The sequence below is a fragment of the Homo sapiens genome, chromosome 2 (genome assembly GCF_000001405.40).
Source record: "Homo sapiens chromosome 2, GRCh38.p14 Primary Assembly".
NCBI classification, from domain to species: domain Eukaryota; kingdom Metazoa; phylum Chordata; class Mammalia; order Primates; family Hominidae; genus Homo; species Homo sapiens.
In genome coordinates, this window is record NC_000002.12 from 141443189 (window position 1) to 141459690 (window position 16502).

Below are 16502 nucleotides of genomic sequence, written 5' to 3' on the forward strand. Positions count from 1 at the left end.
AGCTTTTTTTCATATGTTTGTTGGCTGCATAAATGTCTTCTTTTGAGAAGTGTCTGTTCATATCCTTCACCCACTTTTTGATGAGGCTGTTTGTTTTTTTCTTGTAAATTTGTTTAAGTTTCTTATAGATTCTGTATATTAGCACTTTGTCAGATGGATAGGTTGCAAAATTTGTCTCCCATTCTGCAGGTTGCCTGTTCACTGTGATGATAGCTTCTTTTGCTGTGCAGGAGCTCTTTAGTTGAATTAGATCTGATTTGTCAATTTTGGCTTTTGTTGCCATTGCTTTTGGTGTTTTAGTCATGAAGTCTTTGCCCATTCCTGTCCTGAATGGTATTGCCTAGGTTGTCTTCTAGGGTTTTTATGGTTTTAGGTCTTATGTTTAAGTCTTTGATCCATCTTGAGTTAATTTTTGTATAAGGTGTAAGGAAGGGGTACAATTTCAGTTCTCTGCATATGTCTAGCCAGTTTTCTCAACACCATTTATTAAACAGGGAATCCTTTCCCCATTGCTTGTTTTTGTCAGGTTTGTCAGAGATCAGATGGTTGTAGATGTGTGGCATTATTTCTGAGGCCACTGCTGTGTTCCATTGGTCTGTATATATGTTTTGGTACTACTACCATGCTGTTTTGATTAATGTAGCCTTGCAGTATAGTTTGAAGTCAGGTAACGTGATGCCTCCAGCTTTGTTCTTTTTGCTTAGGATTGTCTTGGATATACAGGCTCTTTTTTGGTTCCCTATAAAATTTAAAGTAGTTTTTTTTTCTAATTCTGTGAAGAAAGGCAATGGTAGCTTGATGGGTATAGCACTGAATCTATAAATTACTTTGGGCAGTATGGCCATTTTCATGATATTGATTCTTCCTATCCATGAGCATGGAATGTTTTTCCATTTGTTTGGTCCTCTCTTATTTCCTTGAGCAGTGGTTTGTTTTTTCCTTGAAGAAGTCCTTCACATCCCTTGTAACTTGTATTCCTGGGGTATTTTATTCTTTTTGTAGCAACTCTGGATGGGAGTTCACTCATGATTTGGCTCTCTGTTTGTCTATTATTGGTGTATTGAAATGCTTGTGATTTTTGCACATTGATTTTGTATCCTGAGAGTTTGCTGAAGTTGCTTATCAGCTTAAGGAGATTTGGGGCTGAGACAATGGGGTTTTCTAAATATACAATCATGTCATCTCAAATAGAGATAATTTGACTTCCTCTCTTCCTATTTGAATACGCTTTCTTTCACTTGCCTGATTGTCTTGGCCAGAACTTCCAATACTATGTAGAATAGGAGTGGTGAAAGAGGGCATCCTTGTCTTGTGCTGGTTTTTAAAGGGAATGCTTCCAGCTTTTGCCCATTCAGTATCATATTGTCTGGGGGTTTGTCATAAATAGTTCTTATTATTTTGAGATATGTTCCATCAGTGCTTAGTTTATTGAGAGTTTTTAGTATGAAGGTGTGTTGAATTTTATCAAAGGCCTTTTCTGCATCTATTGAGATAATCATGTAGTTTTTGTCATTGGTTCTGTTTATGTGGTAAATTATGTTTATTGATTTCCACATGTTAAACCAACCTTGCATCCCAGAAATGAAGCTGACTTGATCATGGTGGATATGCTTTTTGATGTGCTGCTGGATTCGGTTTGCCAGTATTTTATTGAGGATTTTCTCATGGATGTTCATCAGGGATATTGGCCTGAACTTTTCTTTTTCTGTTGTGTCTCTGTCAGGTTCTGGTATCAGGGTGATGCTGGCCTCATAAAATGAGTTAGGGAGGAGTCCCTCTTTTTCTATTGTTTGCAATAGTTTCAGAAGGAATGGTATCAGCTCCTCTCTGTACCTCTGGTAGAATTTGGCTGTGAATCTGTCTGGTCCTGGACTTGTTTTGGTTGGTAGGCTATTAATTACTGCCTCAATTTCAGAATTTGGTATTGGTCTATTCAGGGATTTGACTTCTTCCTGGTTTAGTATTGGGAGGGTGTATGTGTCCAAGAATTTATCCATTTCTTTTAGATATTCTAGTTTATTTGCATAGAGTTGTTTACAATATTCTCTGATGGTAGTTTCTATTTCTGTGGGATCAGTGGTGTTATCCCCTTTATCATTTTTTATTGTGTCTATTTGATTCTTCTCTCTTTTCTTCTTTATTAGTTTGGCTAGTGGTCTATTTTGTTCATCTTTTCAAAAACCAGCTCCTGCATTCATTGAATTTTTGAAGGGTTTTTTGTGTCTCTATCTCCTTCAGTTCTGCTCTGATCTTAGTTATTTCTTGTCTTCTGATAACTTTTGAATTTGTTTGCTCTTGCTTCTCTAGTTCTTTTAATTGTGATGTAAGGGTGTCAATTTTAGATCTTTCCTGCTTTCTCCTGTGGACATTTAGTGCTATAAATTTCCCTCTAAACACTGTGTTAGCTGTGTCCCAGCAATTCTGGTATGTTGTGTCTTTGTTCTCATTGGTTTCAAATAACTTATTTATTTCTGCCTTAATTTTGTTATTTACTCAGCAGTCATGCAGGAGCAGGTTGTTCAGTTTCCATGTAGTTATGCGTTTTGATTGAGCTTCTAAATCCTGAATTCTAATTTGATTGCACTGTGGTCTGAGAGACTGTTATAATTTCTGTTCTTTCTCATTTGCTGAGGAGTATTTTACTTGCAATTATGTGGTGAATTTTAGAATAAGTGCAACGTGGTGCTGAGAAGAATATATATTCTGTTGATTTGGTGTGGAGAATTCTGTAGATGTCTATTAGGTCCACTTCGTCTGGAGCTGAGTTCAAGTCCTGAATATACTTGTTAATTTTCTGTCTTGTTGATCTATCTAATTTTGACAGTGGGATATCAAAATCTCCCATTATTATTGTGTGGGAGTGTAAGTCTCTTTGTAGGTCTCTAAGGACTTGCTTTATGAATCTGGGTGCTCCTGTATTGTGTGCATATATATTTAGGATAGTTAGCTCTTCTTGTTGAATTGATCCCTTTACCATTATGTAATGCCTTTTTTGATCTTTGTTGGTTTAAAGTCTGTTTTATCAGAGACTAGGATTGCAACCCCTGCTCTTTTTTTTGCTTTTGATTTGTTTGGTAAATATTCCTCCATTCCTTTATTTTGAGTCTATGTGTGTCTTTATATGTGAGATGGGTCTCTGAATACAGTCCATCGATGGGTCTTGACTCTTTATCCAATTTGCCAGTCTGTGTCTTTTAATTGGGGCATTTAGCCTGTTAACATTTAAGGTTAATATTGTTACGTGTGAATTTGATCCTGTCATTATGATGCTAGCTGGTTATTTGGCCCATTAGTTGATGCAGTTTCTTCATAGAGTCAATGGACTTTACAATTTGGTATGTTTTTGCCATGTCTGGTACCTGTTTTTCTTTTCCATATTTAGTGCTTCCTTCAGGAGCTCTTGTAAGGCAGGCCTGGTGGTGACAAAATCTCTCAGCATTTGCTTGTCTGTGAAGGATTTTATTTCTCATTTGCTTATGAAGCTTAGCTTGGCTGGATATGATATTCTGGGTTGAAAATTCTTTTCTTTAAGAATGTTGAATATTGGCCCCCACTCTCTGCTGGTTTGCAGGGTTTCTGCGGAGAGAGACCCACTCTTAGTCTGATGGGATTTCCTTTGTGGGTAACGCAACCTTTCTCACTGGCTGCCTTTAATGTTTTTTCCTTCATTTCAATCTTGGTGAATCTGACAGTTATGTGTCTTGGGGTTGCTCTTCTCAAGGAGTCTCTTTGTGGTGTTCTCTATATTTCCTGAATTTGAATGTTGGCATGACATGCTAGGTTGGGGAAGTTCTCCTGAATAATATCCTGAAGAGTGTTTTCCAACTTGGTTCCGTTCTTCCATCACTTTCAGGTATGCCAATCAAATGTAGGTTTGGTCTTTTCACATAGTCCCATATTTCTTGGGGGCTTTGTTTGTTCCTTTTCATTCTTTTTTCTCTAATCTTGTCTTCACACTTTATTTCATTAAGTTGATCTTCAATCTCTGATATCCTTTCTTCTGCTTGATCGATTTGGCTATTGATACTTGTGTATGCTTCACGAAGTACTCGTGCTGAGTTTTTCAGCTCCATCAGTTCATTTATGTTCTTCTCTAAACTGGTTATTCTAGTTAGCAACTCCTCTGGCCTTTTTTCAAAGTTCTTAGCTTCCTTGCATTGGGTTAGAACATGCTCCTTTAGCTTGGAGGAGTTTGTTACTACCCACCTTCTGAAGCCTACTTCTGTCAATTTGTCAAACTCATTCTCCATCTAGTTTTGTGCCCTTGCTGGTGAGGAGTTGTGATCCTTTGGAGAAGAGGCGTTCCAGTTTTTGGAATTTTCAGCCTTTTTGCACTGGTGTTTCCTCATGTTCATGGATTTATCTACCTTTGGTCTTTGATGTTGGTGACCTTCGAATGGGTTTTTTGAGTGGATGTCCTTTTTGTTGATGTTGATGCTATTCCTTTCTGTTTGTTAGTTTTCCTTCTAACAGCCAGGCCCCTCTGCTGCAGGTCTGCTGGAGTTTGCTGGAGGTCCACTCCAGACCCTGTTTGCCTGGTTATCACCAGCAGAGGCTACAGGACAGCAAAGATTGCTGCCTGTTCCTTCCTCTGGAAGCTTTGTCCCAGAAGGCCAACTGCCAGGGTGCCAGCCAGGGCTCTCCTGTATGAGGTGTCTGTTGACCCCTGCTGGGAGGTGTCTCCCCATCAGGAGTCATGGGAGTCAGGGACCCACTTGAGGAGGCAGTCTGTCCCTTAGCAGAGCTTGAGCACTGTGCTGGGAGATCCGCTGCTGTCTTCAGAGCTGGTAGGCAGGAACATTTAAGTTGGCTGAAGCTGCATCCACAGCTGCCCCTTGCCCAAGGTGCTCTGTCCCAGGGAGATGGGAGTTTTATCTATAAGATCCTGACTGGGGCTGCTGCCTTTCTTTCAGAGATGCCATGCCCAGAGAGGAGGAATCTAGAGTGCCAGACTGGCTACAGCAGCTTTGCTGAGCTGTGGTGGGCTCCACCCAGTCTGCACTTCCCAGGGACTTTGTTTACACTGTGAGGGGAAAACCATCTACTCAAGCCTCAGTAATGTTGGATGCCCCTCCCCCAACCAAGCTCAAGCATCCCAGGTTGACTTCAGACTGCTGTGCTGGTAGTGAGAATTTCAAACCACTAGGTCTTAGCTTGCTGGGCTCTGTGGGGTGGGATCTGCTGAGCAAGACCACTTGGCTTCCTGGCTTCAGCTCCCATACCAGGGGAGTGAACGATTCTGTCTTGCTGGCATTCCAGACAGCACTGGGATATGAAAAACAAACTCGTGTAGCTAGCTTGGTGTCTGCCTAAAAGGCTGCCCAGGTTTGTGCTTGAAACCCAGGGCCTTGGTGGTGTAGGTCTGTGGGTTGCGAAGACCATGGCAAAAGCGTAGTATCTGGGCCGGATTGCACCATTCCTTGGGACACAGTCCCTTCACGGCTTCCCCTGGCTAGGGGAGGGAGTTCCCCAACCTCGTGAACTTCCCAGGTGAAGCGACACCCCACCCTGCTTCGGCTCGCCCTCCACGGGCTAAACCCACTGTCTAACCACTCCCAGTGAGATCAGCCAGGTATCTCAGTTGGAAATGCAGAAATCACCCACCTTCTGCGTTCATCTTGCTGGGAGCTGCAGACTAGAGCTCTTCCTATTTGGCCATCTTGCCATCCACCCAATCCTCACACATTCTTAAGAAGTTTCCATCTTCAGAGTTCAAGAAGCATTTAGGCCTTTTAAGCTGCTTTGAAATTTGAAACTATTCAATTTGTTAAACAAGGCCGCTAAACTTTGCTTAGAGCAATATGCTTTAAGAATCTTTGTTAATCATTTGTAGATTTAAATGTCATATCATAGGTAACATTTACATGGTAATTAACAAAACTATGTGAAATCTTCCTTTCCTTAACTTAACTGCCATTACCTTTTTTGTTAAATCAAGTAGCATATTACTTGGCAAGATATTCCCTTTTATTCTAGTTGGAAAGATAAACAGAAATGTATTAAGACTAATCTGCGCTATAAATCCTAAATTTTTGCTTAATCTTGTGAAGCCCACCATTGCATAGCACATTTATGACATCTTCCAGCATGTAATTTCAATTACAATGTTATGACTCTTGAAATTGGCATTTGGGAAGTTGCATGCAAATGTGAATAATTTTTGGAGTACACAAATATATTTAAATATTTTACTGTAAGAAAAAAATTTCTTTGGAATTGATGTTTGATTAATCCTAAATGACCCCCACCAAACCTTACATTTTTTATATTTCAGATTTTTTACATTTTTTATATTGCAGATTCCATTGGCATTTAGTTTCTCTTTCTTCTCAATATCTTCCTAACTCTACTTTGCCGTCCCTACATATTCTAATTGTGTTGACTACAAGGGTCAGAGGAAGCAGTGATGTTTTTGACTAAGATATATGTGCAAGAAAAAAACCACAGGGTTAATTTAAATAAATAGATCTGCATTAATTATGAAATATCACATACATAGAATCATTTTTGGTCAAAAACATATTTTGTTTCAAGTTAAGTAGAATAATAACAGTTGCAGTGAGGATTTGGACAAATGTAAACTTTTTTGTGGAAATTATGTGATAGCTTTCTTAATTTAAACAAGTATTTCTCAAATCTACTACTGATATTTGATACCAGATAATTACCTGTTGTTGGAGTTGCCCTGTGCATTGTAGGATGTTTAGCGGCATTCCTCACTTCTACCCTCTAGATGTCAGTTTCATCTCCCCAGATATGACAATCAAAAATATCTCTAGACATTGTCAAATGTTCTTTGAGTTGCAAAGTCACTCCCAGTTGAGAACCACTGGTTTCAACAACTATATCCATATGCAAATGCATTTATTATTTTAAACGTTGAGGAGGGAAGAAAGGATAAAGGAAGAGAAGGAGGGTTGGAAGGAAGGAGATACAGAGAAGAAGAGAGGGAGGGAGAAAGAGATAGGGAGATAGAAAGATGTTACCAACAAAGCATTGCACACTTTCTATCTACTGCCTTTGTTTTTATTAGTTCTTGCCAAACACACATTTCATTAGTTCTGATATACAAGCTAATAGTGAATAAGAGCACAGGTTCCAGAGTCTGGCCAAATATCAAATTCCAGTTCCAGCATATGCCAGCTTTGCAATTCTTTGATCTTGGGAAGGATATTTAACATCTTTAATCCTCAGTTTCTTCATTTGTGAGCATGAGATTATAATAGTTTGGTATATGGAGTTGTGGTTACAAATGAGTTGATGTGTATAAAGTACTTAGGAAGGTGCAGAGTAAACTCAAGACCATTTCTTATACATAACATCATCAACTTCATCATCACTGATGAGACAGAATCCTATTTTTAAAAAAATAAAGATGCCATATTTTAAAAAAAAATATATATATATAATTAGGAAGAACATAAAAATGATTCAATATTAATGTTTTCCATGTATCACTAAAATAAAAATTATTTAGCTCTAACAGGCCAATACTTTTAAATGTATTAATGCACATAAATAAATCTTCATTTATTTGAATTGATTTTGTGGGAGGCAGTGTGGAATCTTAAGTGGGTCTACTTGGTAAAAGATAACTTTCAGTGCTAAAATAGATATTTTTCTTGTCATATACAATATATTTATTAACTCTAAAAGTTCAGCACTCAGAATTATTTGAGCAGTGACAATTATGCCCTAGGGTCGAAGTATTTTAAGTGTTTATAAACTATTTCATATCCAACAAAACATGCTCCTAATAATAGACATCAGCTTAAAATCACTATAACACAATTGTTTGCCTGACCCTCACAATCTGTGTGATTGCATTTCTAAATTAAAATATCTAATGACTATAATTCCAAGACAAGCTCAGGAATGAGCATCTTCCAAGTCTTGATACAAGTAATGTGATACTGGGACGACTGAGGCTAATGCTGAATATTGGTAATACCTGATAAGAGACATTAGGAGTGTAGGACCCAGGAGTGTTTGCTTGCAGCCAAGACCCTGAGTGTGTGCATGCTTGAAACACTAACCCATCTGTGTATGACTTCAACAGAATACAACTTACAAAATATCAAGTTCAATAATTTGTATCCATCCAATGTTTTAAGTGTGTACTCTTAGTGAACTGGTAGTGTCAATTTAAAAGCTCAGTATTGAAAAAGACTGTTTTCACTTAGAACAGAGACTGATTATTTAAATTACAAAATAATACACTATAATAATTGTAAATGTAAAGCAACCTAGTTACATTGACATCAAAATACAAATTAACTAATTCAGAAAACAGATGTTGAATGCCTATTACTCCTCAGTACTGTAGGCACCTGTGGATAATTCATTGAAGAACAAAATTGTCCTTGCAGAATTCACCTATATAATTGTACCTGTTGGGTGAATTATCTATTTTCTTGTTCTCATAGAAGTTATACGTTATAAAAAAAACTGGCCACAAACAGAAGGGCTTCTTTTTATACAAAACATTTCTTTGAGAATTTCAATCCTTTTCTACTCTCTTATTGTATCTTAATTTCAAAGACATATTTTTAAAAAATTACTTAATTATCCATCTTGGACCTTTTGTCAATAGAAGTTATTCAGCTTAAACTATTTTGCCAATACTAGCTTTGAAACTACACATAAATAAGTTCCCAAATTCAAAGCAATCTCAAATAAGGTTTTTGCAGAGATGACAGGAACACAAAGAAAAACAATACATTCAGTTTTCCTTAGTGACCCTGTTGGATATGTTAACCAAGCTAAATTGAATTATTTACATTTCATTTATCCCTTCAACAAATATTTATTAAATGCCTCCTCTTTTGTGACTATTTTAAATAGCAGCCATGAGAAAAAGAAGAATGAATTTGTCCTTAACTATCTACCTTATTACCATAATTTAAGGCTGTATAAAACTTTATAAAAAGAATTCACTTGGAGTTTGTGAGATAACTGTACAAAATTATTCCCACAATTTGAACTAAGGAGGCTGGAAAAAAAAAGAGATAAGAGGTGTAGAGCATCACTGGGTAGGTCTCCAAATCAGCCAGTGTGTGATGAAAAATGCCTGTAATTCTAAGGCAAGCCCAGGAATGAGCATCTTCCAAGTCTTGCTATAAATAATGTGACACTGGTATGACTGATACAATGCTGAATATTGGTAATGCCTGATGAGACTTTTTTTTGATGATGGAAATTATTGTATTTCTTGAAGAGAGAATAGAATATATGTTTGCTACTGACAAGTCCATAATTGCATAAATTCAATATTCTGTTAACTTAAACCAGTTCCTCAATGCTGAATTCTATACTGTTTTCTGTAAACTCTACTGCAAATGTAGTATATCTTTTCATTAGCATGATTTTCTCAAAAAAGCTAGCATCGATTACACATGGCAAGCATGAGATCTTGGAAAGAAGCCAAAATATCTCTAATCTTTCCCAGTAAAGAAGTTTCCCAGGTACCTGCAATGTTGTCCATTATAGTTGTCACTACTCTAGAATCAACTAGTTTGCTTGTTTGTAGCTATTCCTCAGTCACCCCTGGATGATAAACCAAGGTCAGTCCTTGCTGAACACTTGTTGGTTCTCCCAGGAGGTATTTCCTTTCTTAGAGGGTAACCTACTTTTCTTACCCCTCTTGTACCTCCTGGATGTAACTACTCTTTTACCATGGCTGTACTTCCTGGAGGTTATTGGATGACTATATTATTTCACCAAAGGCCTGTTTTATATAAGTCTTTATTCAAAATAGCACAATGTGGCCACCCACGGTAGCTCACACCTGTAATCCCAGCACTCTGGGAGGCTGAGGTCGGCAGATCACTTGAGGTCAGGAGTTCGAGACCAGGTTGGCCAACATGGTGAATACCCGTCTCTACTAAAATATACAAAAATTAGCCAGATGTGGTGGTACATGCCTGTAGTCCCAGCTACTCAGGAGGCTAAGGAAGGAGAATTGCTTGAACCCAGGAGACAGAGTTTGCAGTGAGCTGAGATTGCCCCACTACACTCCAGCCTGGGTGACAAAGTGAGACTCCATCTCAAAATAAAAAAAAATACACAAAATAACAATGTCTGAGGATTTCAATAAAAATAATACATATTTAGATATTCTTTCCTGTTTCTCTGATTTTGTTAACACTATTCCATTCACCTTGAATGCTTTTTCTTTCCTTTTCTCCCATTGTTCAAAAACATTCCAATTTCCACTTCTCAACTAAAATTAGTTTCCATGAGTCTTCCATAGTTATCCAATTTCCACAGTGACTTTTATCTGAACTCTAATAATAGTTTGTGTACCTGCCATGCAACAAATGCCTATTCAGGTAATGTTACTAGGTTCTGTGTCAGGTGTTACATCTCATATTTGACAATGTTATACCGTCTTATGAAAATGCTTCCATAATTATTTTGAAATGCATATATTGAAAGTTCTACTGTTAGCTGGGCTCAGCGGCCCACACCTGTAATCCCAGCACTTTGGGAAGCCGAGGCAGGTGGATGTCCTGAGGTCGGGAGTTTGAGACCAGCCTGGCCAAAATGACAAAACCCTGTCTCTACTGAGAATACAAAAATTAGCCGGGTGTGGTGACACCTGCAGTTCCAGCTACTCAGGAGGCTGAGGCAGGAGAATTGCTTGAACCCAGAGTGGGATGTTTCAGTGAGCTGAGATCCCAACATTGCACTCAAGCCTGGGCAACAAAGTGAGACTCTGTCTCAAAAAAAAAAAAAGAAAAAAAAAAGTTCTAGTGTTTATTTATTCTTTCTGGTATCTATCACCTCATCCATTATCTAAAGTTAATTTCTTTGAATGTTAGAGTCATGTACTATATTTCATTGCATTTCCCCATAACATCTTATGCCAACCTTGCCCCCAAATATGTATTTAACATGCTTATATAAAAATATTGAATAGAGTGAAAATTTGGCATTTAATTTTTGTCTTATGTAGAAAAACACAAAACTTTAGAATTAAAAGTACACAGACTGTCTCTAAGTTAAGAGACTATAATTTTGTACACCACTTGGTCAATTTAAAATGACCTGTTGATAATGAGTTAGACATCCCAATTCTGTTCCCAATAATGTTCTTTTTCATTACAGTTTCTGATTTGATATTAAAGAATAGAAATTGCACAAAGTTTCCCTCCTGAGTGAGTGAAAGTATACTTATCAGGTAACAGCAAGACAAGAGAAGTGCTGGCAAGAACTCCCTACCTCTCATTAAGACCTAGTCCTTCCCTGCGTGCACTGCCCTACTCAGCTACTATGGGCCCACTTACATGGTCTGTGCAGACCAACCACAGAACCTACCATGACATACATTAATATTTAATATTTTCTGTCAGTCCAGTTCTTTTAACCGAACAAATGAAACATCATTAATATTTAATACACCATTACTTTAGATTTACCTACATATTTACTAATATCTTTGCTCACTATTCCTCTTGCATGTCAGGAAAGCTAGTTGACATCATTCTCCTTCCACCTGAAGTACAGCCTTTATACTTTTTCTTTCGTGAAGGTCAGTTCATGACAACTTTTCCTAGTTTGAGTTTGAATGCAAATATCTTTACCCTGTAAACATCGCAGAGAGGAGAGGAATAGTGCTACTCTGAGAAATATACGAAGCTAGATCAATTTCACTTGATAGGAGGTCTTTCTCCTTATCATTACTGAGGAATACTCTCCAAGACGAAGAGAGCTAGGAAAATTCTCTTCTGGCATCTCTTTTATATACAATATCCAATAATGTTGGCCAAAGCTTTGTAAATGTATTTTTTTTCTTTTAAACTGCTGTCACCAGATTTGCATTCAAAATGCAATAGAAAATGACTATCTACCAGTGACCAGTTAATCTGATATTATGGTATTGTAATTGCCAAGAACTTTTGCAAACATGAATTTAAACTGTCTCTTATTTTAGGGGAGAAAATGCCTATGTGCTACATAAATGTAGGCCTGGTCAAAAACCTTTGAAAAGACTGATGTATTTAATCAATTATGGAATGAATCTGATGTCTACCTATCTGAATAACCATCTTAATCATTAAAAAAAAAAAAGGAACAAAGAAAAATTAACTTGTCCTAATCAATTTACATATCTCCCTACAAGTTGATTTGCAAGTTTTTCTTCTCCTGTTTAATGGATGAATGCATCACACCCAGAGGGCACAGAATTCTCTTTGCTGCTTGCTCAGCGATCTGTATCTTCTCAGTGTTCAGTTGAAGTGTCCGAGTCAGGAAAACTCGAGCCTGTGCAGGAATAGCAGACACCGCAGAAGATTTTAATTCATAATGACGTTCATTTTTTTTTTCTTTTGGTTTTTGAGTGAAGCCAGTAAGAAACTACAAAAAGATGGAGATGGGGACAGGGGTAGGAGCAAGTGTTCTCCCATCAAGAAATCTAAATAGACCCCACTGAATCATGAGGCAAGAATGCATTGCGTATCCTTAGCAACTCAGTAACCACCTAAAGATGTACGTTTTGTGGAATAAATGAACAAATACATTAATAACTTTTATGAGTAATTATTCAGTACTCTGCTAGGCATCAGAAGCACAAAGGAAGAGACAGACCAATAAATACCAACTTTTGAAATGCTTTTGCCATTTAAACTTGAAAATGTGAAATTTCATCAAGATATTATCTATCATTCAAAGAATAATGAGATTTCCCAGTGCACTACAAGCTATTTTATCTACATTACCACTAATTATCACACTAGTTCATCAAGGTAGTATTACTGCCCATGTGATAAGTGAGAAAATCAAGGTTTGAGGCTCCTCTATCCATGGGCTTCTGGCTGAGTACAAACAGCAGGAAGCAGTGACTGGAAAGAAGACATGCAATTTTTTCTTCTTCATTCCTACCATTGTCAGCACCTCTGGCCACTGCTGCATCCATGGCTTTAGCTGTCAGAGGACAAACTGGCCACCAGTACTATAGCGTTTTCCCTTTTTGTCTCCAGCCTGGAGGTGAATGGCTTTCCATTGTCAGTAAATGAAGTTTTGCAAATGTATTTTTTTTTCTTTTAAACTGCTGTCACCAGATCGATGTTACTTCACCATCTATTATTTACTTTTAAGTTTTTCCACCAACAGTGTAAAAATGTCCTGCCTTGATTTCCATCTATTTAAATACTCAGAGTGGTTACTGTTATTTTGCATGAATCCTGACTAAAACACCTATAGTCTTTATATCACATCATACTATTTCAAATATAACCTTACAAACTGTTGATATTACTTTGTTATTTTTTGTTTCCAGGACTGTTTTCTCCTCAACTATGAACATCTTGAGATTAGAGACAATATATTTTCATTTCTGAATTCCTCACACCTATTACATGGGCAAATACATTATAGATATTCATTAAATACTTGTTGAAGAAATAAAATAATACATGAGTGAGTGAATGTAATGCTGCAATAAGATATGAAATGAAAATATTAAAAAGTCAACTTAGTTCAAAGAAATCTTCCTAGAGTTAAAATGCCTGGGCTGAGCTTCAAAAGGTAAGTAAGCATTTTTCTGGTGGATGGGAATAAGATCTCATAGCAAAAGTATTTCAAGTAGTGGGAACAAGATATATGAAACTGAAGAGCCATTGAATGATTGACACTGATCCAGGAAGTCTTGATTCAGCTAAAATCTAGGGTTCATAAGAAGAAAGGCTGGAAGATGAGGTTGGTGAAATAGGGAACTTATGCTGTCTTTCTAAGGAACTTGTAATTCATAAGATAAGTTTAAGCAAGGGACTGAATATTCAATTTGCACTTTATTAGTAAGATGGCTTTTCTGACTGAATGGATTATAGATTGGAATGAGTTAGATCAGGTGACGAAAAACAACTTGTGTGATTATTACCTTACCTTACTGAAGTTTTATTATAGGCAGAACTAAGTCAGGAGGAGTTTGGATGGACAGAAGTAGGTGAATTCTGGAAGTAGTTAAGGGTTAAGAATAATTTGAACTTGGTGACATGTTTTGGGTCAGGGAAGGGAAAGGAAATATTCTTGTGTGGTTTCAGGAGGCTAGCCTAGTTTAGGTTACTATATGGAAGGTGACATAATTAAACAAGACAGACTGAAGGAATAATAGATTAGGGTAAAATATGATAAGCTCATAACAGGAACAGACGACCAAACACCACATATTCTCACTTATAAGTGGGAGCTGAGCAATGAAAAGACGTGGAGACAGGGAGGGCAACAACACACACTGGGGCGTGCCAGTGGGTGGGGTGAGGGGAGAGAGAGCATTAGGAAAAATAGCTAATACATGCTGGATTTAATACCTAGGTGATGGGTTGATAGATGCAGCAAATCATCATGGCACATGTTTACCTATGTAACAAACCTGCACATCCTACACGTGTACCCTGGAACTTAAAAATAAAAATTAAAAAAATGTGATGAGTTCAGATTTGGTTCATGAATTTGACATGTCTGTGGGGGCACCTATGTGAAATACATAGGAAATAGTCAGAAATACATAGCTGGATCTCAGGAGAGAAAGAAAGGTAGCAGCAAGTGTCGGGGGCAAGGAGGTGGTAACTGCAGTGGAGAGGAGGGCATAGAAAGATAGTAAAATAAGAAAAGCAAGGCAGAAAATGGAAGCCCAGGGAAGAAGAAGCACTTCCTGTTTCTTGGGGGCTTCTGGGGTACAAAGACAGAGAAAAGTTGATGAAGCAGAATTTGCAGGTGGCAATAAGGCTCAAGGTAATTCAGGAGACACTGTAGTATGGTCAAAGGGAATCAGTAGTTAAAATGCTCTAGATTGGACAAATAAGATGAGTAATAAGCTTTCATTGTAAATACAAAATAAAAGTACTGTTTGTAAGTGGTTTTTGTTTGTTTTGTTTTGTTTTTTTCTTCCTTCAGGAAACTTCTGTGAAAGAAATGAAAGCCATGTCAATCCCTAAAGGGTAAAAATCTTCTTATTTTAAAGAAATGACAATAGTGGGTCCCTCCCTTATTTAGCCGAGGCTTCTATAATAAAAATAATTGAGAACAAATAATTGTGAGAAAATGTGCAAGACAATATGTGTTTTGAAGTGTTTCTACTTTTCTCCTTGAACTGACATCAGAATTCCCAATGTAGTCTAGGAAAAGTACTTAGGACTGTTTGGGTCATCATCGCCTGGGCAGGGACAGAGCATTCAAAATCAAGGTGAATGAGCTCTGAAAAGCGACTGCTTTTGCCAATTCATTGTCTGCATTTTGGCAACGTATTTAGCCTAGTGTCATTCTCTCTAGGGCGTGAAATGGAGAAACTAATCTAAATTGGTAGAAAAGCAAGACACAACATTAATCCTGCCACAATAAGTGAATACGGTACCTATCCAAAGCAAATATGATTTATTTTTTTTAGGCTGACTCAGTGCTGTTTTCCGTACTTATAAAAGGAGAAAGTATCTAATAGCATTTCGGATCCCTATCTCATTTTTTTTTTAAATCGTAAAACCAAAAGAAAATCAACTTTTAGCCAACAGTGCTTCTATGACTCACTTATAGACCAAGTTACCTTAACATTCAGACACACTAAGCTAATTATTTATTTAAAAGAACTTTTCCTTGATCATGGAAAACAGTAATTCTACAACATCAGTCCTATTTCATAAAGTTCCTCCTCAAAATCTTTACCATGTCATTCCCAGGTTCATGTATAAATGGATATAAATGGTTGAATGTCTCAGACTGAAAAATAACTTATTTCCCATTTTTATGCACAGTAATATGTAGAAAGGAAATTGGCCTCATGCTATAGTTAGTTGCCAGTGCACAACTGCTGTCCAGGTTTCTAAAACAGACAAAATGGCAGTCCAGAAACACCCTGATTCACCGTGTCAGTTTCTGATCAATTAAATTGAGCTAAAGTTAGACTTAGAGAGCTGAACAGGACAGTATGTTCAATACTTACCTAGCTGAAAAAGCTCCCAGCGAACCTGGCAATTAGTTTCCACAGGTGGTAGTATATGTTGAATGGATTACACAAGTGTCTTCAACTTAGGCTATAGAGGTATAAATCAAACACACACACGTGTATGTATATGTGTGTGACCTTTACAAGGTCATTTAAATGATCTTGTGAAGAAATATCTTGACCCATCTCCTAAATAAATTGAAAGATCTTACTACAGGGCTTGTGTCATGTGTAGCTATGCTTCCTCACGGATCCTGCTATGACATAATTCAAAACAGAGAGCTAGTAAATGTCTGAGGCTGAATTGTGGGTGCAGGCATATGTTCCTGAGTCTAACCATGAAGTTCACTGCAATTTCTTTAGAGTTGGAGAAGGAAGCAAGGTGATATGGTTTGGCTTTGTCCCCCGCTAAATCTCATCTTGAATTGTAGATCCCGTAATTCCCGAGTGTTGTGGGAGGAACTCGGTGGGAAATAACTGAGTCAGGAGGGTGGGTCTTTTCCATGCTATTCTGGTGACAGTGACTAAGTCTCACGAGATCTGATGGTATAAAGGAAAGTTTTCC

General features: G+C 37.5%; 1 protein-coding gene across 3 annotated transcripts in view, besides 1 other annotated feature; it reads right to left on the bottom strand.

Moving 5' to 3' along the window:
• The window catches only part of LRP1B (LDL receptor related protein 1B), a 1899594-nt gene that overhangs the window by 1211766 nt on the left and 671326 nt on the right, over positions 1-16502 (bottom strand). The gene's annotated exons all lie outside the window — the stretch shown is intronic.
• Positions 12704-13245: an enhancer, noted in NCBI's record as "OCT4-NANOG hESC enhancer chr2:142213461-142214002 (GRCh37/hg19 assembly coordinates)". NCBI's record gives its function as "activates a minimal SCP1, AML or CMV promoter by ChIP-STARR-seq in naive and primed H9 embryonic stem cells {active_cell/tissue: H9 hESC(naive and primed)}" and the evidence as "EXISTENCE:reporter gene assay evidence [ECO:0000049][PMID:30033119]".